This window comes from Homo sapiens, chromosome 13 (genome assembly GCF_000001405.40).
Source record: "Homo sapiens chromosome 13, GRCh38.p14 Primary Assembly".
Taxonomy (NCBI): domain Eukaryota; kingdom Metazoa; phylum Chordata; class Mammalia; order Primates; family Hominidae; genus Homo; species Homo sapiens.
Genome location: NC_000013.11, coordinates 75,837,366 through 75,860,744, shown reverse-complemented (window position 1 = coordinate 75,860,744; position 23,379 = coordinate 75,837,366). Strand labels below are relative to the sequence as shown.

Below are 23,379 nucleotides of genomic sequence, written 5' to 3'. Positions count from 1 at the left end.
TGTAGCAGTCCTTTTAACACAACAGTCAGTTTGTTTCATTCCTCTTCTCAGAACTCTCCGGAGTCTTTCTCTTCCATTCAGAATATAAGACCCCATGTCCTGCAACCACTGCTGCTCTGTGCCCTCCACTTCCCCATGGCTCCTAAACCCTCCACACTCACTCCACTCAACCACACTTGCTTCCTGGACACACCAAATACTCTCCTGCGCCAAGCCTTGTCACTTGCTGCTCCCTGTGTCTGGAATGCTTTTCCATCAAGTCTCTGTTCCTTCATTTCTTCAAGCTTTGGCCCAAATATCAAAAGGCTGTCCCTGACCACCTGTATAAAAAGCACTGTCAAACTTCCATTTCCAGCACTTGCATCTTTCTTACCCAGTATTTGTTCTTTGTTGCTCTCATCGCCACCTGCATGTTATTTTTTCATGTATTGTTTTATCACCTCCCTCAACCAGAAAAATAAGACCAATCAGAGCCAAGACTGTATTTCTTCACTGTTCTACCCATGGTGCCAAAAGCAGTGCCTGGAGCATAAAGTATGAATTAAAAAATTTGTTGAAGGGCTGGACTCTTCCCTTGTTCCTAGGTGAAGTAACAAATACCCAAGGGCTTATACAAATGTAGAGCCGGTATCCTAGAAGAAAATAGCTCTGAAAACTGTACTTATAATTTGTACTAACAGAAATGTTATCACTAAGTAAGATAATGTGAGAAATGGGGGAAAAAATCATAAGAAAACAAGAGCAGATGAAAAGACAAAAGGCTTAGATGAAAAGGAGCAATGGTCAGAAAGGATTTTGGATAAGGAAACGAAAATGATGGCAGAATTAAGGCATCCTCTGGGGACAGTGGAAAACAGAATTAACAAGGCAGAAATTGATAGTGGTTTCTTCATTCATTTATTCAACCACTGCATATTGAGGGCTGCCTCTGCATACACATCAGGCAGAGAACAAGGCAAAAGAACTGTATCTTCATAAACATGCAGTGAGATGAACAAGCCCACGTGCTGCTTATAGGAGTCGAAGCCAGCAGTGCCTTTCTGGAAACCACTTTGGCAATATATACTATGAGTGTCTTAAAATGCATAATCTCTGAGCAACTATTTCATGTCTATGAAAATAATATAAAGAAAGAGATGATCATAGAGTATCACAGAATTTACATATTTATATATAACATGCACATATTAAAATGTTTGATCTTAGAAACAAGTGAAAAATACACAGTAATGGAATTATCAACTAAATATTACCAAGGCCAAACAATGGAGCACTATGCAACCATGAAAAAAGATAAAAATAATTTTAAGAACATGGAAAAATTCACAATCTATACTTATAAATAATTATATGCAGAATGAATTCAAACACAGAGTTCTTGTCTTTGGAATTTGGGATTCAGAATTATATTCTTTATGCTTTGGGGCATTTGACAAGTTATCCTCAAGGAACACATTATTACTTTAATAATAATCAGAATAAGTACTAAATAAAATTTTTATCTCCCACATTAGCATTTCTTACATATTTTGAACCTATTCCAATACAGTTCTCAGTTCCTAGAATCCTCCATTCCACTTACATTATTATAAAAGATTCCAGTAAGTTTAAATTTTTGCTCAAAGCATGCTAAAGTTTTGTATCCTTGCATTCCCGCTCCAGATTTTTTAAACAAGAGACTACATTTTTTGCTTTATAGATATTCTAAGCTCACTGTTGTCTTCTCCTTTTATCATGGGGTTAGTAAAAGATTTTATTCAAATGATCCAACAATTCATCACTCTCACCATACAAATATATTGTATCCAAAAACATAACTTTATCAAAAATAAACTTCCTTATTAAAATGTTTCAGTAAACACATCCAGACTGTGGCATAGTTTCGAAGGTATACACCATGTCAAAATTTGTCAAAGTATACACTTTAAATATATGCAGTTTATTACATCAATTATACCTTAGTAAAGCTACTGGATAAAACATAACATCAAAAAAGGCCACATACTGAAATATGGCTAAAAGGCCTGAGGTCAGACACATACACCTAAGAAAAAGACGACCCACTCGTTAAATGCATCAGCAAGTTTATTTACAAATGCAATTGAACAGAAAGGCTCACCAGTTTCTGAAGAAGACTTCTAGTATACAAACCATGGTTATTTTTCATTAATGAAAATAAGCAGCTTTCTATTGGGAATTACTTAGCAACATTTCTGGTAAAGAAAATAGAGCTCCCTTCATCAAGCAAATAAATGGTACATTAACTGCATTTTTAAAAATCAGAATAATAGGTAGAAGGAAGGATACAGAAAGCACATTTGGGGATAGATTTTAATGAAATTTTCCATATGGTTCTGCATTAATTTAGAATACATTACAATAAACAGAGCAAATGCAATTATGTATTTATATTAACTATTTCAAATAATGTTTAAGAACCTTTTTTTAAAAAACAATAAAATACCCTCTTCAAAACACCACTAACTAGAAAGTCAAACTAGATCATTATCTGCCTCAAAAATATTCGTAGGTTCTTATTTTTTCCCTTGTGCTCTCAAGATGCTGAATTCAACAGGTAAATACTGCACTTTTCCCCACACACAATTACCTTATAAATAAACAACAAAAATACTGGTTCTACCAAGACTACAATGCTTCTATGTAATCTAAAGAGGCAAAAAAAGTTATTCTTTTTTTTAAAAAAAAAGCAAAAAAGACATACAACACATATTTATAGATCTACATGAGCAGCAACCACCTCTTCTTCTATCTGCAACAGTGCTTTCGTATGGAGGCTTACATCACATGGCGGTTGGCCGTCCAGCTGATCGGGCAAGGAGAAAAGAAAGAAAAGTGCTTAGATTCAGAAACGTGAATATTGCCATCTGGGATACATAGCAGTCATCACTCAGAAAGTGGCCCAATGAGGTAGAAAGAGTAACCTGTCACTCACTCTTAGGATAAAGCTAGGCAAGTCTCAGTGTCTCGTCTCTGGAATTCTTTATTTGTAAAAATGGAGTAAAAATGAACTGCTCACAATAGAAATAAATTACACTCAACTCTCTATTATTTGTTTTGGAGGAGAGAAAAGGCATGGGCAATTTTACAATGGTGATTCCAGAAATCATTTCTATTTGGCTTTGGAATTTGATGAGAGAGAGAAAAACACACACACATACACACACCCCCCACCAGTACATGCCCAGCCTTGACTTTCTCCAACCTCAGTGTCAGCATCCAGGAAAGGACTGGACAGCTGCAGCAGGAAGGCTCAGAACCCACCGACAGATAAAAGAGAGTTGACTGGGCTTAAACCATTTCCAAAGCACTCTTCACATAGGGGCCATATAAATACCTCAGAGTTCAAAAGCAAATGATTTTGCTGATACCACTTGTAACACCCTTTCACAATAAGGAAGAAACACATGTTACCAGCATCAAGGTTTAAAATATAAAACAGCAGTAATACTTGTCTTGCTGTAGCTATACACAACACACAACCTAGTTATGCTAGCCTACCTTTTATAACACACAAACACATGCTTAGATGCAAAGTAGCATTTGAAGTTTTTTGAAAAACTCATTTTTTCCAAAAATGACACTGAAACACCATAGTTAATACTTTCCTTTTAAAATTATATATTGACATATATTAACATAAAGCATAAACTGACTTATTTTGTATTACATGGAACAATATTTTTTAAAGTTGGTCATATTCTAAATCACATAATCAAAGCCCATTGTTAAATAATAGAAGTTGATGAGGGACCAATCTTTAGTCAAGAAACAAATCCTACATAGAAGATTCATTTAAGTGTTTTGGTTTGTTTGTATTCTTGAGTCATTAAAGGTCTCTGCGGACTCTGGGCAGATAACACAAGACACCATCCTGACTTTTGGACACTGTTCCTCTCCATTCCTTGGCCCCACAACCCACTCCTGTGTAGCTGGAACCCTGAGCAGTGACCCATTCACTATACACACTCTTTGAAGGGAACACACTACAATTCTTGAAACCTGGAATCCTATGGCAGTGAACTTGGAGGGGAGCTCGCTGCAGGTTCAGGGAAATGCATGGGAACCCGTGGCCTCCTTAAAAGGCAAGAAATTTTCTCTCTGATTTGCTCTCTTACATTTGAATCTGAGATAGCAGTCGTTGCAGTACAGTTGGTGGTTTCTGATCCTGACTTCAGCTCCTGAGGAAGAGCCTCCGAGGTCACACTCACAGGCAACACACTGGGGAACAAAAAAAAAAGAACATCTACAATCAGTCAGCTCAAGAAAGCTTGGGGCACTCCTGGGGGTGGGGGGGAAATGAGCAGAATGCTACTTCTAAGCTCTTAGATACATTTCAGCAAAGAAAAAAAAAGGCCGAAAGATGATTAGTAGATTCAAATCAAGACCGCCAGATAAGATGTTAAAGAATTCATAAAGCCAATATTAAGAGCCAAGATGACCAGTCTAAATATACTCCCCAAAAATAGAAATAATTTGCTGATTGACTTTAAGAAATTTAGTTTTTATCCCCCCAGAGGAATGGCAGGTAAGGCCCCCCATGAAAGAAGTGGCCAGAGTGAATGAAGGCTGGGCCCTGGCACTCCACCCTGGGGTGGGCCGCTCCCAGTGTCCCTGCTGCACTAGCTTAGCAAGTGTTCCCACACAGCGCCTCACTTCAAGGCTGGATATTTCGATTCCATGTGCCCAAACTCTAATTATCTTGACTCATTCTGCTGTGCCTAGGAACAGCCCAAGCCAGCAATGGACAGGCTTAAACAAGCTGTGGTCTGCGGGCCTCCAGGATCAACAACCAGAATCTTTCTCTGGCCCAATGCAAGTTCAAGAATCAAACAGATATGTCTTTAGAGACAGAGATTACAAAACCAAACAATTACAGCCTTAGTTCCTTCTTATGTGTGAAAACCTATCAGGTATAAACAGGCTGTGCAATTATAAAAATAGCTACAATGGTAATGGTTTTCCTTACATATTCTTCCTACTCAAAGCTAGGCTTTCAGACACTGTGATAACTGCATGTGTCCCTGCCCTTAACAACACTAGTAGGTTATTTGTAAATTATATTTCAAGTATGCCTCTGACAGCATCTTAGAGAAAGCAACTTATGTACTGTAAATGTATAGAATTCTAACAGATTAGAAATAGAAAATGCAAAATTTTTCCAGATTTAAGTTTTAAAACAAGGTTCAAGATTTGAGAACTAGGGAGGAGCAAGCAATTTGTGACTCAAATGCAGCACAGATGGACGAATACAGCACCTAGCTTGTTAGTGGCACATCTACACCCAGCGGCTCAAAGCAGCCATGCGCTCTCCAAGCAAAGCTTTGCAGGCCTGCAAGCTGTTTGTCTCAGTCTCACCTTAAAACAATGCAAATGATAACAAAGACCCAGGGACTCGATGATCATGGCGGCTCCTTTGCCCAGAATGTTATTGCAGTAGGAGCATATGCGCTTCCCACTGACTGACCTAGATGCAGAACAAGAATGGAATGGAGGCTTTCACCTGGGCAGCTCAAGATTCTTCTTTAAAAGTCACACTCTGCTATTAACACTGATAATAATTTAAGAAAAGCTCTATACATATATCTGTGGGAGAATAACTTTTACCAGCCAACTAAAGAGTGCCTTGATTATACTCTAACTTTGAACCATCTCCATGGCAGCTCTGAGACCCTTGACACCTATTCACATAAATGAGCAATTTCAGTGTAATTAGTCCATCCTGCAGTTTCTGATACTATCTTCCTTTGATCACATCTGTACTCAGCAATAGTCGCCCCTCATCTCATCCACCTACATCTTCTTGCCAGTTAAACCAAAGCACACAATGCTGATCATGTCCTCCTACCCCCTCAGAGCACCAAAAGGGTGGCCCCAGCTTTCTTCAAGAGGCTTTGCAAGTCCTCTACGACCTATTTTTCTCAGACTTATTTTTCGCCCTCTTTCTTGATCACCCAGTTTTCTAGTTACAGAGAAATGTCAGTGCTTTTCCTGACTGTGCCTCTGACTTACAGGATTGTCTCTGCAGGGAAGGAAATGAAAAGTACCTAACAGCTGCCATGGAGAGAGGGGAGGAGGATTTCTACTCTACTTTTGTATACAGGTCTTTTCTCCTCTCCCAGTTGGTAAGGCGGCACCCGTTCTTCCACATCTCTGCACCCCCACAGCATGAGCACGGCGCTTAAGAGGACCACCTCCTAGATCAGGACCTTCTTAGGTCAGAAAAGCCCTCAGCCCCTCCCTCTGCTCTCCCAGAGTGGGTCTCTCCGTCAGTAAATGGGTCCCCCCTCCTCTGTCTTCCTGTCATCCCATAGACTGCACCTCCCTACCGTACCCAAATTTACCCTAAATCTTCACCTCTGTTCTCTCAATTCAAACTCATTGATACACACTTTATATACTAGTACCTGTAAAATTATTTTGGATTTATATAAAACATGTTTTCTTATGAAAGTCTCTTATCTGATGGCTTTAAAAAGTCTTAATATTAATCAATGTGTTTCTACTTTGAAGTATTCCATTTGTGATGGAAAGGAGTACATGCCAACAGCACTTTCTTGGGGTGAGGAGAGCAGCACTGCCCCATATACTTACATGAGGCATGAAAGATCTGTGGAGAAGCCACCCAGACCTAAAAACCCAAGCAGGGCTGATATCTGAGCTTCACTCCACATAAAAACATAACACCCTATCATAACATATACACTTCCCACACCATATTCCCCACCGAATCCAGCTGATGTAGCCTCAACAAAATGTGGGCAAACAGAACGCCCAAGCAATTATTTTCGCAATCAAAAACCCCCAAAGCAAGATCTATCCGACTTTGCATTTCTTTAATCCAGCTAGTCAGAAGTCCCCCAGACGATGGAGCATGCCCGGAAAAGCATTGTAACGCTCTTCTTTTACACTCAGTTCCTGTGAGTTTGTATGACACTGTCATGAAAATAGTCAGCTATTTGACAATACTGATTTCACTCAGAAATTTGAGAAGCATTCGTGAGCTGCTATATGTTTTCATGATTCCACACTGAGAAGTATTCTGGTATGTCTTACATCCAAGACACTGACCACAAACACAGGCAAATGAGACGATGGCAACAAGTAGACACCTTCAAAGTCTCCAGTGGCTTCACAAGACATCTAGAAATGCTATTAGAGTTGCATGGAATGGTATTAAGCAAGCCTTCATTGATTTCATACTAGAATACCAAATTTGACACATTCAAAAGGGCTTCTTTTTCTTCTTCATTGGAAAACTTGGACAGGATTTGGGGGATATTTTAATGAAAAAATACCCAAGACTAAGAGAAGAAAGAGAAACAGCAAGGGCCTCACCTGTTACGCAGCTGAGAGCCTGACTGTGAAGCTGAAGGGGAATGGCTTCTCGGGGTGGGGGACTGTGTGGTGGCCACACCTGTGGTGGAGGTCTTCACGGAGCCAGCTGAAGGTGGGGGCACGCTGGAGGAGGGGTTCCGCATGTAGGCACGGTTTGATGTGGACACCAGCTGAGGTGGTGGGCGACTAAAGTCTTGCACAGAGGAAGAAGCATAGAATCCTGTGGGCTGATTGAGCCAAGGAGGCTGTCTCCAAGAATTGGATCGGGGGGAGTCCAGGTTATCTAAAGATTCGCCTCTGAAACACAAAAAAGACTCATCAAAATAATGTGACATGTTCAACTAGAAATCTATTTAATTCATCATTCCATTCATTAAAAATCCATTTTTATATTTTATATGTGGATATTAATCTAAGTATTCTAGTTACATATACAGATGTTCCTTGATGTATGATGATGGGGTTATGTCTCAATAAACCCATCATAAGTTGAAAATACTGTAAGTCAAAAATACTTTTACTTCACCTAAACTACCATACATTGTAACTAAGCCTAATCCACCTCAATCATGCTCAGAACACTTACCTTAGCCTACAGTTGGGCAAAATCAAGCAACACAAAGCCTATTTTACAACAAAGTGTCAAGTATACAATTTACTGAATACCGTACTGGAAGTCAACAACAGACTGGTCATACAGGTACTCAAAGTACAGTTTCCACAAAGGCTTATCACTTTCACATCACTGTAAAGTCAAAAATCTTAAGTCGAACCACTGAAAGTTGAGAACCACCTGTAAAATTACCTTTAACAAGTAAAGTTGATCTTCATCATCAGTGGCATCATGTTTCATAGTCAATCAACCTTCTTTTTTTTAATCTGTTTTCTTTCCAACTTTTATTTTAGGTTTAGGGGATACACGTGCAGGTTTGTTACATGGGTCAAGTGAATGTCATGGTGGTTTGGTGTACAGATTATTTCATCACCCAGGTAATATGTGGACTGCCAGAGAGGTAGTTTTTCGATCCTCAACCTCCCACACTCCACCCTCAAGTTGGCCATGGGTGTCTACTGTTTCCTTCGTTGTATCCATATGTACTCAATGTTTAGCTCCCGCTTACAAGTGAGAACACCTTTGTTTATTTTTATTTTTATTTACTCAGTGCTTAGGTAAAACAATAAATACCAACCACAGAAGAAATACACTAAGAAAAATATTTTTAAAATAAGAGCTAATACTCTACTAAGTCTAAGAAGATTGATACTTATCCTTTAAATCTTCAACAGTTTAGACATAGCAAATATAAAGCCTTTTAAAAATTCAAAGAAATACATTTTAAGAGCTTAAATATCACAAGCATTAGGTTAGATACCTTCACAAAAATATTAAACTTATTGAATCTTCATAACACTAAGATTTTTTTTTTAATCTTACAGAAGTGAGTTTGTCATAGGAAAAGCCAGTCAATGGTGGCACTGGCTTTCAAACCCAAGTCCTCTAAAACAACCCAGACCATGCCTCCTGTGAAGGTCTCATTTATGTAGCACCTGAATCCCTAAATTTAGCAACTGTTTAATGTCCACATTATAAAAGCATTTATCAGCCACTTCCCTTAAAGTACATATTCTTTTAAAATCAGATTTAGCTCCCAAATAGATTTAAATACAACTTTTGCAAAATCTCTCTTAAAATTCATGTACTAACATTAGTACTACCTACAAAAATGAACTCAAAATTATGAGAATTCATCTACCTAGTCACATTTATTTTTATTGCTTTCAAAACTTTATCTTATCCCAAGCTTGAAATTTTTCTTTTAAATTTTAACATTATAAAAGTGATACATTATCATAAGGAGAAAGACTGAAGCTGCAGAGAAAGGCATCTGAGGGAGAAGAAAAGTCCTTCCTGTCTCACGACTCACCTGCCCTAACCCGCAGAGGTATCCACCATTACTTGTGTGTCCTTCCAGACCTTTTCTCACATATGCAAGCACATATTTACACATACATACAAATTTACATATGTAAGTATAGATGTGTCTATATACATATGCAATGTGCTTGTGTTTAACAGTCTTAAACAAATGGATTATTCCACAACACAGTTTTCAATAACTTCTTTTCCATTTAATATGTATTATCTTAGAACTATCGTCATTCTGCTCATATGATAAGACTGTACTTCAGTGGCCTCCAGTGAACCATGCCTTTTGGTATCCACGCCCTTGTGTAGTCCCCTCCCACTGACTCTGGGGTGAGTCACATGACTAATTTGGCCAATGGGGCATCAGCAAACATGATGCACATGGCAGCTTGATAAGCACTTGCTTATTAGGCATTGCCATGGTGCGAGATTTTCCTCTTTGAACCCAGGTCCCATGCCATGGGGTAGCCCAAAAAACTATGTGGAGAGGCCCATATGCAGAACACAGGCCCCTCAACTAGTAGCTCTGGCCAAGCTCTCAGTGAAGCCTCTACAGCTACAGGGGACAGCAAATTACAGCCTACTGCCAAGATAGACACAGCTCACGAGCTGAGACTTTTTTCACATTTTCAAAGAGTCTTAAAAAAAAAAAAGAATGTGTGGCAGAAACCTATGTGGCCTGTAAACCCTAAATTATTTACTCTCTAGTCCTTATACATAAAAGCTTACCAATCCCTACTGTAAATGATTACAGCTGCTCAAGTGTCCCAGCCAACATCATGCAAATAACTGCCCAGTCAATCTTCAGGACTGTGAGAGATTGTGAGTTACTGTCTTAACTCACTAAATTTGGAGGTGGCATATTATGTAGCAACACTTTTCTTTCATTCTTCAATAGTCATATAGTGTTCTGTCTGATCAGTATGCCACTGTTTATTGAATAACTACTGAGTATCTCCTTACTAGCAGACATTGTGATTTTCTTTTCTTTTGCCATTAATGAATAATGTGTAAGTGTACATCCTTGAATGTACCTTTGCATATTTATCCAAATATATCCAGAAGATAGAGTGCTAGAAACTACATTGCTCAGAGGGTCAGATATATAAACTTTTGCTTAATACATACTGAAAAACTGTCCAACCAAGTGGAAAGAAGAACTCCTATTTCCATATACAATTGTCAATATTAAATTTAATCAATTTTAACTCTTTACAAATCCAGTGAGCAAAAGAGATACATTATTGTTTTAGGACTAGTATTGATGTTTTGTGTTTATTGGCTTTGTGTTTCTTTTTCCTACGAACTATCTGTTCATATCCCTTTGTCTTTTTTCTTTTTTTATACAGAGTCTCTTGCTCCGTCATCCAGGCTGGAGTGCAGTGGCAAGATCTCAGCTCACTGCAACCTCTGCCTCACGGGTTCCAGTGATTCTCCTGCCTCAGCCTCCTGGGTAGCTGGGATTACAGGCACACATCTATTTTTTATAGAGTTGGTAGGGATAATTTTCTGATTTTTACAAAGTTATTAATATATTGACATAATTAGCTCTTTCTCTGTGATATGTTACAAATAAATTCCCCAGTCTGTCAGATAAGAAAATACTGAATCAGAGTAGCTGCATTCATTTACCCAAGATACATCTTTTAAAATGTTCCTGCACTCATTTCCAATTAATATCTATACCTTTATCTCCTTAAAGTTATAAAAATTAGGTTTATCACTTTGTGAATCCAATTATCAAGATTCCAATCTAATCATTATCTCATTAGAAATATAAAAATATGAAACTTCTATTTGTTGAAGTTCAGCAGCCAAGAAAGTTCTAAGAGCACTGTGCATTATTTAAGCATCTGAACCTCACTTCAGAATGCCCCATCCAGATTTGCAATCTATTAACCATGTGATTTTGTCAGCGTCTTGCCTGCTTGAGTCAAAGTTCCCTCATAGTAAAAAAAAAAGAAAAAAAAAAAACAGCCAGAATTATTATCCCTACCTCAATATGTTTTCCTCAGATTAGATGTGGTCATGTAAACTGACACATAATAGTGCCCAGAGCGTTCGCTCTATGTTCCTTTCATCTCTTCTGTCCAAAGCACCAGGATGTCTACAAATTAAATATCTGCCTCACAGTAAAGACAAGAAACCAATTCCTAAGATGTCTCGCACCTTCTCATGATCCCAGGAAGACTAACAGGCTCTTTGTTGACACTGGCACTGCGCTGTCGGATCCAGCTGTTGTCATTGTGAAGGGGTGTTCTCTTCCTCATTTCCTGAAGGATTTGTTGCCTCTCCAATTCTGCTCCTGATGGTACTTGTTCTTTCTTGGATCTCCTCTGTGAAGAGGTCATGTTCCCAATTTGGTCTAAATATTTATTGTTTCCTAAATTAAAAACAAATCAAAAGCTTTGGGATTAGTACCTTTTAAAAGTGACAGTGATGATTGACATCACTAGTGATCAGGGAAATGCAAATCAAAACCATAATGTGATACCACCTTACTCCTGCAAGAATGGCCATAATCAACAACTCAAAAAATAATAGACGTTGGTGTGAATGCAGGGAAAAGGGAGCACTCCTACGCTGCTGGTGGGAATGTAAACTAGTACAACCACTATGGAAATCAGTGTGTAGCTTCCTGAAAGAACTATAAGTAGGTCTACCATTTGATCCAGCAATCCCACCACTGGGTATCCACCCAGGAGGAAAAGATGTCATTATATGAAAAAGATACTTGCTCACCCATGTTTATAGCAGCACAATTTGCAAGGCAAAAATGTGGAACCAACCCAAATGCCCATCAATCAATGAATGGATAGAGAACATGATATATATATATATACTGGGTATCCACCCAGGAGGAAAAGATGCCATTATATGAAAAAGATATTTGCTCACTCATGTTTATAGCAGCACAATTCGCAATGCAAAAATGTGGAACCAACCCAAATGCCCATCAATCAATGAGTGGATAAAGAGAATGTGAGATAGTTAGATAGATAGATAGATAGATAGATAGATAGATAGATAATCGCATGGAATACTACTCAGCCATAAAAAGGAATGAATTAATGGCATTTGCAGCAACCTGGATGAGATTGGAGACAATTATTCTAAGTGAAGTAACTCAGGAATGGAAAACCAAACATCGTATGTTCTCACTTGTAAGTGGGAACTAGGCTATGAGGATGCAAAAGCATAAAAATGACACAATGGACTTTGTGGACTCAGCAGGAAAGGGTGGGAAGGGGGTGAGGGACAAAAGACTACAAATTCAGCTCAGTGTATACTTCTCGAGAGATGGGTGCACCAAAATCTCACAAATCACCACTAAAGAACTTACTCATGTAACCAAATACCACCTGTTCCCCAAAAACCTATGGAAATAAAAAAATTTAAAAATAAAAAATACAAATACAAAATGACAGAGGAGAGATGGAGTTGATGTAACAAATAAATAAAGTGTATTTGAAATTGCAGCCTCAATAAATAAATAAATAGTGACTGGATAAATCGCCCATGGCAGTGCAGCTTAAAATGTGGCATTGTGCACGTGTGCTAACATTATCAATTCTCAGTGAGGGTGCTGCATGAGAACATAAAGTAACTGTCTCCTACTCCAGAAAGTCCAGTTCCACAGCCAGAGCCACACCACAGAACACACTTGGGAAAATGAAAAAGGCTGCCCAAAAAGGCAACAATCAGTACTGGTTTCAGTATTACTCAGTTACAAAGTGCTCATCTAGACATAGTTTTTCTTCCACTCTTCCTTTCCTAAATTAAATCAATCAAGAACATGCTCAAATGCTTGCTGTAACAACTCTAAAAGGAAACAGGGAGTTTTCTTCTCTCAAAAAATATATACTCTCCCTGGGGAGAGAGGACATAAACGCACATATCTCTGGCTGACATGACCCAAGTGTGCATGGTATAAGTGACAACCAAAATTGTAAGAGTAAGAGCACACTCAATCATGGAAATGGCTTTTGTGAACAGGAAAAATATTCAAGCAATCCAAATAATCATCCATAAATGTTACTAGACTTGCTTCTACTCTAAGAAGCTGACAGAACTATAATTTGAATGTTGAATTTATTCATGACAATTAAGTCAGGTTTTATCGTGAGGACTCTGTCTCTTGGATTTGGCGATTAGTTTCTGATTGGGGTAAAACACCCACAACTTTGACGTATCATTCCCACCTTAATCTGGATTAGGAAATTGCATCTAAGGATTTATTTTCTTTCTCTACATTTATTGCTACTGCCATTCTTTCAAAATTTATTGTTTGTCTATGCCTTGGTTCATCTTCCACTAAGCAATGAGCAAGACCAAAGGTTTCTTATACAACTATACTTACATTTGTGTACATACAAAGCTTATCAATTTGGTCAGACTTTAAAGAAATGTTGCCTTTTTTTTTTTTTTTTTTGAGACAGAGTCTGCTCCGTCACCCAGGCTGGAGTGCAGTGGAGCGATCTCGGCTCACTGCAACCTCTGCCTCCCGGGTTCAAGCAATTCTCCTGCCTCATCCTCCTGAGTAGCTGGGATTACAGGCACATGCCACCACGCCTGGCTAATTTTTGTATTTTTGGTAGAGATGGGGTTTCACTATGTTGGTCAGGCTGGTTGGATTACAGGCGTGAGCCACCGTGCCTGGCCTCTTTTTAAAGTGTCATTTTGGTATAACCAAGTTTTTAAATCAAATATTTAATAACTTCCACTGCCTGCTATCCAAGAGCTTGCAATGAGTTAATAAAGGGGGGAAAACATATATACAAAATAATCCGATTAATGACACAAGCCACAAATATTAACAAGATTATTCCGGAGATTCACAGTTGCAGTTACTGACAGGTCTTGTGTTTATGTTCAGGAGAGATAATATAATCGCTGCAGGTTAAAAATATTTCATGGAATACTGAAGTACTTAAAACTATAATTTTAATGGTGGCTAAAGGCAAGTTCAGGGGAGAAGAAATGGAAAATACAAATAGGGAAAGGTAAGACCAGAGGAACCAGATCAGAAAAGTACGTGATAAATTGGGAACTGAGAAAGATAATAATGTGGTTATAGTTACGGACCCATTAACAGAAAAATAGCAAGATCAGCTGGAAAGTTAAACTAGAACCAGATAACAAAGGTCCTAACTGCTCAAAGAAAGGGATAATCATAGAACTGTGAATCCCAATAAAAACTGTAAGTTCTATAAGCTTTAATGAGAGGTTAAACTAGCTGCCACCAGACTATCTGGCCTGTAGATAGGTTGTTTTGCTCACAGGGCATTTTAGTTTTTTAAAAAAATCTCTTGTCAGCACATGAAAGATAACACATGAAAACAGATTTTTTTTTTTTTTAACTTTTCTGTTACAACAGGAAGAGTAGGCAGAGGGTTGCCTTCTCCAGCATGGCAATGATAGGCTGGAGCTGGGCAGTGGCTATCCAACATGATGGGCATGTTGACCTCAGCCCTACCTGGACCTTCATTCATTCATGTAAATGACCAGCCGCCTGCTTATGCAAATCCTGATATGCAAACCCTGCTTAAAATGGTAATTACCGCTTAGGGTTTTTTTTCATAGTTACATAATTTCTGCTATATGCATTCTTCAGAAACATATTTTATACTGACAATGTCAAGTCCAAATTGTTTCTGCACAATTACTGAAGTCATAATTTTTGATTTTTTGACATTTTGGCATTTACATGTATAATTCGAATTAGTATGCAATTTTTAAGTCCTCCAGTATTTCGTAGACATCTTTTCTGTACTATTTCTTCAGCTGCAAGATAAAATCTACTATACATAGCTGCATCAGCATCGCTTTGCAAAATTCCCACATATTTCATTAGCAATTTAAAACCATTTTAATCTCCCAGTATTTTTCAATATAAAATAAAGCCAAAAGTAAACACAAGATAGTTGTTTTGCTGTTTTTATATACAGAGGTTAAAATACTAAGTATTTTAATTAAGTAATCTTAATGAATCTGAAATATCTTGACCTTAAAAATACTTCTCATAACATGATACCACAAATAAGCAACTCTGAAGGAGTTTGGGGGAAAATATCGCATTTACCATTTTTATTTGTGGAGTAATCATCCAGTTCAGTAGTAGATCTGGATTTATTCCTAAAACACAGAACACAATATATTAAATATGTCTCATTAAATAACCTCCTTTATATTTATGAAGTAAAAACACCGAAGAGATTGCTTTTTAAAGCAGTTGATTTATTTTCTGTGTCTGCTGAGAGCAATTATGTTTAAACCAAGAAATTTTTCATCTTTCACAAACTCACAGAAAACCTTGACATCCTTAAAAAAGAGAAGAGTGAAATGCTGGAAATAGATACAAACACGTGACAGTACTTCTCCAGTTTGTATGATGATGAAGACTATAAGTTATTGATCAATTGTTGTCGATGTTCACCCTGGTCCAGATCTCAGTCCTACCAGGCTTACAAACCATCTGCCATCAGATCACCTACAGTCAGACTGTCCCACTTCCCCCACACTCCCCAGGGTTATCATGTCAACTTCTTGGGCATTAGAGTGCCACTGACTACTGTGGAACATTAATTTACCAAATGCCATCTTAGTGTTCCAAAGAGGTACTAAAGCATACAGCACAGTCAACTTCTGGAAACGCCTTAAGTTTGTACCAATAAAATGTAGGTGTATAAATCAACACATGCTAATCTCATTCCCATTCTGCTAGACACACTGAACTTTGAAAATAATAGTGGTGGCTGGGCTTGGTGGCTCACTCCTGTAATCCCAGCACTTTGGGAGGCTGAGGCGGGAGGATCACTTGAGGTCAGGAGTTTGAAGCCACCCTGGCTAACATGGTGAAACCCCGTCTCTACAAAAATACAAAAACAAGCTAGATGTGGTGGCATGCGCCCGTAGTCTCAGTTACTTGGGAGACTGAAGTGGGAGAATCACTTGAACCCAGGAGGTGGAGGTTGCAGTGAGCTGAGATCACCCCACTGCACTCCAGCCTGGGCGACAGAGCGAGACTACGTCTCAAAAAAAAAAAAGAAAAAAACAAAAGAAAAAGAAAATAATAGTAGTAATGACAATATATAATATACATTATAATATGTAATATTATACTTATGTACATATATGTATATATTACATATGTGTAAATCCAATAATTTATAATACATAATGTATCATAAGTGGTAGACAGCTGCACTTGTGAATAATTTCACTTGTATCAACATAGAAGAAAACACTTATTACCAGATGTCTAGCCACACTCCTTGATGCCTCTAGGGCATGCTTTATCTGGACTGCCTGCAGGTATTCATATTTTCCAGGCTTCCTTAAGTTTCCTTTCTCTGCATTTTAATTATTTTCCCCAAGGTCATGAGCTATATAAATAAAGTTTTTGTAAATATGTAAGTAAATCCATAACTTTTAAAAGGAGATAAACATTTTAATGATTTACAGTTACCCAGAAAGATTATAAACAAGGTCATCTATCACTAGATTTTTCTTTAGCTTATTGTCAGCCCATTACTACCTGCTTGTCCCTTTCCTTTTCCCCTTTTATTCTGAGCCCTATTCAGTCATCCCGGCTGCTTGTAGATACAAGTCTTTCCTTATATCTAATAAGTAAGACAAAAGGAGAAATTTCAGCTCTGAAAACACAAGGTAATGGCCCTACCCTCAATATTTGTTTGACAGACTGTTTAGAAGTCCTTAGTGATTTCAAAACTGCAAAGCATTTTAAAAATTGCTTTAAAACATTAAAACAATGTTTTAGGAAATTTTAAGATACATGTAACTTTCCAGATATCTGAAATTTTATCTTTATTCCCCAAAACTGACCAGTAGTTCTAACCAAACTGCCTCAGAGAAATGTCACCATTCCCATTTCAGATGTCCATACATAACCCTTTGGGGAGTAATGTGAAGCCATTATTCATAACCTTTTTAAAATGAAGATTATGTTGGATTACAGAAAATTGACACAGTTCTTTCCCGGCCGTGTCCATTCCCCTTGCAATGTGATTCCTACCATAAAGAGGCAGTGTTCTTCTCTTCTCCACGACCTGTGACTGTGACTTTAGACAACTTAAACCTCAAGATGCCTTGCAGATTTCCTCTCTTTAATTCTCTTTCCCCTGCCTCACCACCACGTATACATAAGACCTTCCTGGCTCAGCGGATATCAAAAGGCACATGACCCAGTTGTTCTCACAGCCCCAGCTGACAGCCAGCCAACCCCCAAAAGCAGAGCTGCCTAGTTAATAGGTAGCAGATATATGAGCAAGCCCAGTCAACTAAAAGGCTGCCCAAGGGAGATCAGCCTAACATGCTGACCATAAAATCATAAGCTAATTCATTAAGTTCACGAATAGTTGTTACACAGCAAAAGCTAACTGATACAAAGATCAACCAGCAATTCCTCTTTATACCCCACAAATGACAAAGGGCTAAAGTAGTTCTACAAATCATCGATGCAAGCTCTGGAATATTGTCTGAAGCCATTATCATCAATTAAATTACAATAACATGCTCTACATACCTGTCACCAGGAAGAAAACCTGAAGATGCTTCTTCTGTCTTTGGTATATCATAGGAATCAACAGGCCTAAAAGATAGAAAAAGATTTTGTTGTCAAAATATTAGACTTTAAGCCCTTCCCTGAGTTTAAGAAAAGGGTATCAAAATAATGTCATTCTAGCCTCTTTATGCAAATGGTCTTTGGGTTAAAAACTAAACATACAAAGGTATTTCAATGAATAACCACAGAAAATAGACCCACTATTGCCAACAGACATTTGCAAGCCATTCATTCTACAAATACATACTGAGTCCCCACCATATTCCAGTACCACTCTAAGAATGGGCTATAGGAGTACACAAAACAAACTTACTGACTTTATAGCACTTACATCTTACTGCAGCAGGCAGGCTAACAGATAAACAAATAAATGCACAATATAAAATAAGAGTATACAGAGAGAAAGAGTGAGAAGGGGCCTGTATTTTAAATCAGGTATTCTAGAAAAGTCTAAGGAGGTGATGTTTGAGCAGAAACTAGAAGAAAATGAGAACACAAGACACACAAACATTTGATGACTTCTCCAAGCAGATGAACTAGAAAATACAAAAGTCCTTGGGTATTTTCAAGGAAGAAACAGGAGGCCAATGGGGCTGGAACAGAGTGAGTAAGGGGAAGAGTAGAGGTACTACAAGGTAATGTAGCTCATGGCAGCCTTCTAGGCCTTGGCAAGGATGCTGGATGGGGTTCTGATGTGACAGGAAGTGACTTGGAGTGTTATGGGTGGTGAAGCAAGATGACATGGCAGGGTTTATGATTTAAAGGTTCTCTTTGGTGGCTTGTATTCACTTGTGTGGAGAATGGGTGGTAGGAAACAGGAAGAGCAAGCGGGTGCCTTTGAAGTGGGGAATGGATACAGCTAAGCCTTTGTACCCTCTGGCTGTGGGGACATACCTCCTGTACTGGTATATTCTGACTGATGTTTCCCGCTCTATCTCTGCCTGGCGCTTCTGCTCCTCCGCAGGACGCTTCTGCTCCTCAGCCTCAGCCTGAAGCCGCTTTTGCTCTTGCTCTTCCTGAAGCTGTTGCTCCCATTTCCTCTCTCTCTCAATAACAAGCTGATCCTGCGGCTTCTTTCCTTGGTCCTCATGAACAACTTCCTCTTGTGGCTGTCTCCTCTCCTCTTCTCCTGCTCGGGTTCCTTCTCTGTCTGAAGACTTGGACCCTTCACTCCAGGTAGCTTCCCAGGTGGCAAGAGAGGGCTCCCGTGTGGTCAGAGACATGCTGTTTGAGCTTAGGACCATCAGTTCCTAGGTGACCAGTGAAAAAAGAAATCCATCTAAATCTGTTTATTTCCGTAATTTCATATAGACACATATATATTCAGTTTTAGATGCTACTAACTATAGTTGGCCCAGGACTCCACTCAAAAAACATGTTAAGAGTTTTTACCACTAAAGAAGCTACACATGAGTGACTGAGATGTAACTCAGAAGAGGAAGATGCACTGAAGTTCTATTAACATAATTTGTTAATGATGTACTATAAAAACTAGGAGAAAGGCTGCAACATCCAAGCAAAATTCTAACAAATCAGAGCTCATTGTATTTTTCAAAGAGCTACACAGGTGAACATATGGTCAAAGGTGGAGAAAAATGAAGTGTCTCCTGATTCTCAGCTAATCTCACCAACAAGGTAAAGAGAAGAAAAACTAAACAGGCATGTTCTAACACTACCTCATCCAAGTACTTGGAATTCTCTCTCTCTGCCTCCTGTTTGGCCCTTTGCCACTCTTCCCTCAGTTTCTCCTGCTCACGTTGATATTTTTCCTATAAGAAAATATGACATATATTAATCCAATAGATTAACTCTTCACATTAGGAATCTTCTTTATTAACACTTTTATGATCTCTAAACCTTCAACCTCAAACCTTTAAAGACCATGATTTATTTTCATAAGCCAATCAGATTTTAGTCCCTATAGTAGAAAAGAGCATATATTGAATTAAAACTGCAGGCACTGGGGTAAAAAGGTAGACACTGAGAATTAAACCCCCATCCACCCTTTACCATGGCTCTAATTCATTAAGGCCTCTAGCAAACTGTAAGCGGGGGCTGAATTACTCTGCAATGGACCCAGCAAACAGTTTATGGGAACCAAGTCATCACAAAGTCTGTGCACTTCACACCCCCTAAGTGAGTGCCCTTCATACTCTACAAAAACACACATGGGGGTTAATAAATAATGATTTTTAAAGGATGACTCTGGAAATCTTCAAAATGGAAAAGTAATTGTTTTATGGAAAATGTACTGTGTGCAAAAATATTTGTTAGTTGTGAGATTGTTGCGTTTAAAATTAGTTTCTCAATACTGGTTGACAGACTGGAGAAAAGCCGTGAAATCCAACCTAGTTTCTACCCGTCCACGTGAGCCAGAGCTACCTGCAGTAGGCGGTCCTGCTCCTTCTGCCACCTCTCCTGCCGCTTCCGCTCCTCCTCTTGATCCCACACCCAGCGACTCGGGGCACTGATGGTTGGAACTGGAAGCTAACCAGTTATCAGAGAAGAGATGCAAATAGAGAACAACATAACTTCATTAAGTCATCTACTGAACCACTTTTGCACACATAAATTATTCATATCACAGTTTGCTTAAACTGTACCAAGGGAGAGCTGGCTTTGAATTTTAAAATAAGTTTTTCAACTTGGAAGGATAACTCTCTGATAAATTCTTATGCAACCTAAAATCATGGTAAGCATGCTACGGTGTACTAATTCAGTCCCACCAAGTTCACCTTATTCCAAATGACAAATGAATGCTACTTACATCAGGAACCACCGAATCAGAGCTTCCTGTGTTGCAGCACATGGGCAAGGAAGAAAAATATACAATATAAGTCTTCATTTCTATGAAATAATTCCTTTCAGAAACTTCTATCATTAGCTGTCTCTATGCCAGTATACTAAGTGACAATGTTTTTTTAAACAATAGTCAGTAAATCCTTTTTTCTCCAGGTGTAACAGTTCCATCTGTTACTCATCTTTCAAATTCAAAGTTAGTAAAAGGAAGATACAGATGCCAAAATAAACCCTAGCTCTAGGTATTAGAGTAGGATCAATGGATATTTCTGAAGAAGCTTCAGGGTTCTTTTATTAATAAACTGGGCAGCATCTCATAGTTTGGCCTAACAGGAAAAAAAAAAAAAAAAAGAATTTCAAATGTTACAACATCTACCAAATCCCAATTTTTTACTTGCCACTACTCACAACATGACAGCTGCAAGTCACATTTTTCAAGCCTTCTTACTAATGAGCCACTTTCGTAAGCAAGTCACCACAACAAACATGTTCAAGAAACAATTTCCTTTTTCTACTCCTATTGCTTGAAACACACGTATTCAAACTTCATATGTAAACTTATGGGTACAGTCTTATTCTTTTTATTCTTAGGGGACCTATGTAAGTATACCTTTACATAGAACAATGATTATTTAAAAAGTAAAACTTCAGAAAATACACTATCATACAGTACTTTTAAATGTTCTTGAAACCTCAGCTGTCAAATAAATTCTTCACATACAATTTTTTAAATAAAATTGCTTTGAGACCTAGAAAAATACTCTTCCCTAGAATAGCCTGTTGAAGAAAAATGGGAGAAAATTAGAACAGAGAAGGAAGAGAAATTGCTTTATTTTAGCCAGTGTTAGGAAGGAGTATCATACTGTTTCAATTAAATAGCCATAGAAAAACAGGAATTTTATTTTAAAATATAAATCAAAAACACTAAGGATACTGACACAAATAGACTTGCATAGCTGGTAAGATACTTCTGTTTATGGTCCAAAAGAGACCTTAATCCAAAGGAATGATATTAGGTGATTAACACAAAATACACAAACCCAATAAGTACTGTGTTATAAGGCACGTTTGTAAACGTGTTAATAGTCTTAAAAGTAAGAAACAGTAACATTTTAGATGGCAACAGCACAATATCCTCTGACCATTGCATCTCAAATGTTGACTATTACTTTTAAGTTCTTAGTAGCAAAACAGAGCTTGAACGGCATTCATGTGACAGAGCATTAGGCAAACGTGACACGGGAGCAAATGTCACATGCACAGCACATTGTGAGGCAGCCCTGCCCAACTACACCAACACGGAGAATCTCAAAACGCACCTGTTCTCAGATGCAACCAAAATGTATTTACTTTGAATTTACTTCAAAGTCAACAGAGCAGTCAAATCAACACTCCAAAGCCACCATCCCATAGCAAAAATAACTCTTCTTTATTAACAGTGTTTTCCACAACCAAAAACAAGTCAGGTTTTTAAAAACTTGGCCAATTGCATGTTGGTGTAATCTAATATTATGCAATTTGTAGGAAGCAGTAAGGCTTAAATGAAATTCCTCATTTCTTACTGTTACCCAGTGGAAACAAGTGTGTGTTTAAGAGCATCTCCCTTTTTTTTTTTTTTTTTTTTTACAAAGTTAAAAAAAAAAAAGTAAAATGTTTAGAGGTATACAAAGGACACACAAAGACCCATTACCACAGAGGTAGACCCATGAACTGTAAGAAAAGCCTGATGACCCTAGGGAAAGAATGGAAATGGGTTATGTCGCTTGGTCATAATGACAGACAAATTGAAGAGGCTCAGTGCCCAGCACCACAGACCATGAGGAAGAGTGGAGAGGGAGAACAATTCCATGAAAGTGCATGAATTGTTAGCTTTGTGGTTTACCTTGTTCAAAAAATTGTGATCGCCTTTTTAAGTTTTTCAAAGAAATGGATTCAGATGCTAGTTGAAAAAAAAATAAACACTATGTCATTCATTTTTATTTCTCACCATTGGTAAATTAAACGATACTTGATATACCTTTCCAATCTGTAGCAATATTATTTTAAAAGATCACAAAACTGATAGCCATAGAAGATATAGATTATTTCAAGGCACAGGGACACACAATTTTAGTAGCCTACATTACATTCAAATTAGTAGAAGGAATGAATATTTTTATTAATAAACTTTAGCATATAGCATGATAGTTTCACAGCTATGAAAAGCCAAAGTATCATCTTCCATGCTAGATCACGCCGTTTTAGGGAAAAGGAAATCAATATTTTTTGCTTAGGTTAAACAATCCATAATCTTGTCTACTACCTGGAAAACTGTCTATAACAAACAGTTTTCACAACATTTATGAATAAGAAGTGAAAAGTAATGGGGAAGAAAACAAAACAAAATGATACCCAAAGAAAGATCAAAGAAAACAAAATACTAAAGTTACGACCACCTTCTAACTAGAATTTTTTGACCTAGTTTTCAAGATCTGGTAGCTACTACTATTAAGTAAAGCAAATGGAGTTCCACCAAGAAAACAAAAGAAAAACATTCTGACTTCTCCCATAGATCTGTCACAAGACTATGGCATAAAATGTACCTATGATTATTACTTGATACTAGTTAGTGCTTACTTATCTAAACAAAACCTTCCAATGACAGGGCCCACGTATAGTCCCCTAGTCGTCATAGAGCTAGATGTCTGATCACCTATCTCACCTGAGTCACTGC

At 38.0% G+C, this 23,379-nt stretch overlaps 1 protein-coding gene across 56 annotated transcripts in view; it reads right to left on the bottom strand.

Annotated features, from left to right (window-relative positions):
- Positions 1-874: 874 nt before the first annotated feature.
- Positions 875-23,379, bottom strand: part of LMO7 (LIM domain 7) — a 239,437-nt gene continuing 216,932 nt past the window's right edge. For 23 of the 56 annotated variants that reach the window (XM_047430323.1, XM_047430329.1, XM_047430352.1 and 20 more), the window contains 13 exons: positions 22,549-22,605; positions 22,357-22,398; positions 20,635-20,660; positions 20,250-20,354; positions 19,544-19,636; positions 18,762-19,117; positions 17,829-17,894; positions 15,366-15,418; positions 11,453-11,666; positions 7,357-7,653; positions 5,377-5,485; positions 4,137-4,239; positions 875-2,824 (listed from right to left, as the gene is read on the bottom strand). In XM_047430323.1, the coding sequence (XP_047286279.1) occupies positions 2,802-2,824; positions 4,137-4,239; positions 5,377-5,485; positions 7,357-7,653; positions 11,453-11,666; positions 15,366-15,418; positions 17,829-17,894; positions 18,762-19,117; positions 19,544-19,636; positions 20,250-20,354; positions 20,635-20,660; positions 22,357-22,398; positions 22,549-22,605 (1,544 nt within the window). In that variant the 3' untranslated portion in view covers positions 875-2,801. The remainder of the gene's footprint in view (positions 2,825-4,136; positions 4,240-5,376; positions 5,486-7,356; positions 7,654-11,452; positions 11,667-15,365; positions 15,419-17,828; positions 17,895-18,761; positions 19,118-19,543; positions 19,637-20,249; positions 20,355-20,634; positions 20,661-22,356; positions 22,399-22,548; positions 22,606-23,379) is intronic. The other 33 variants (NM_005358.5, XM_047430307.1, XM_047430311.1 and 30 more) reach the window with 7 other exon arrangements.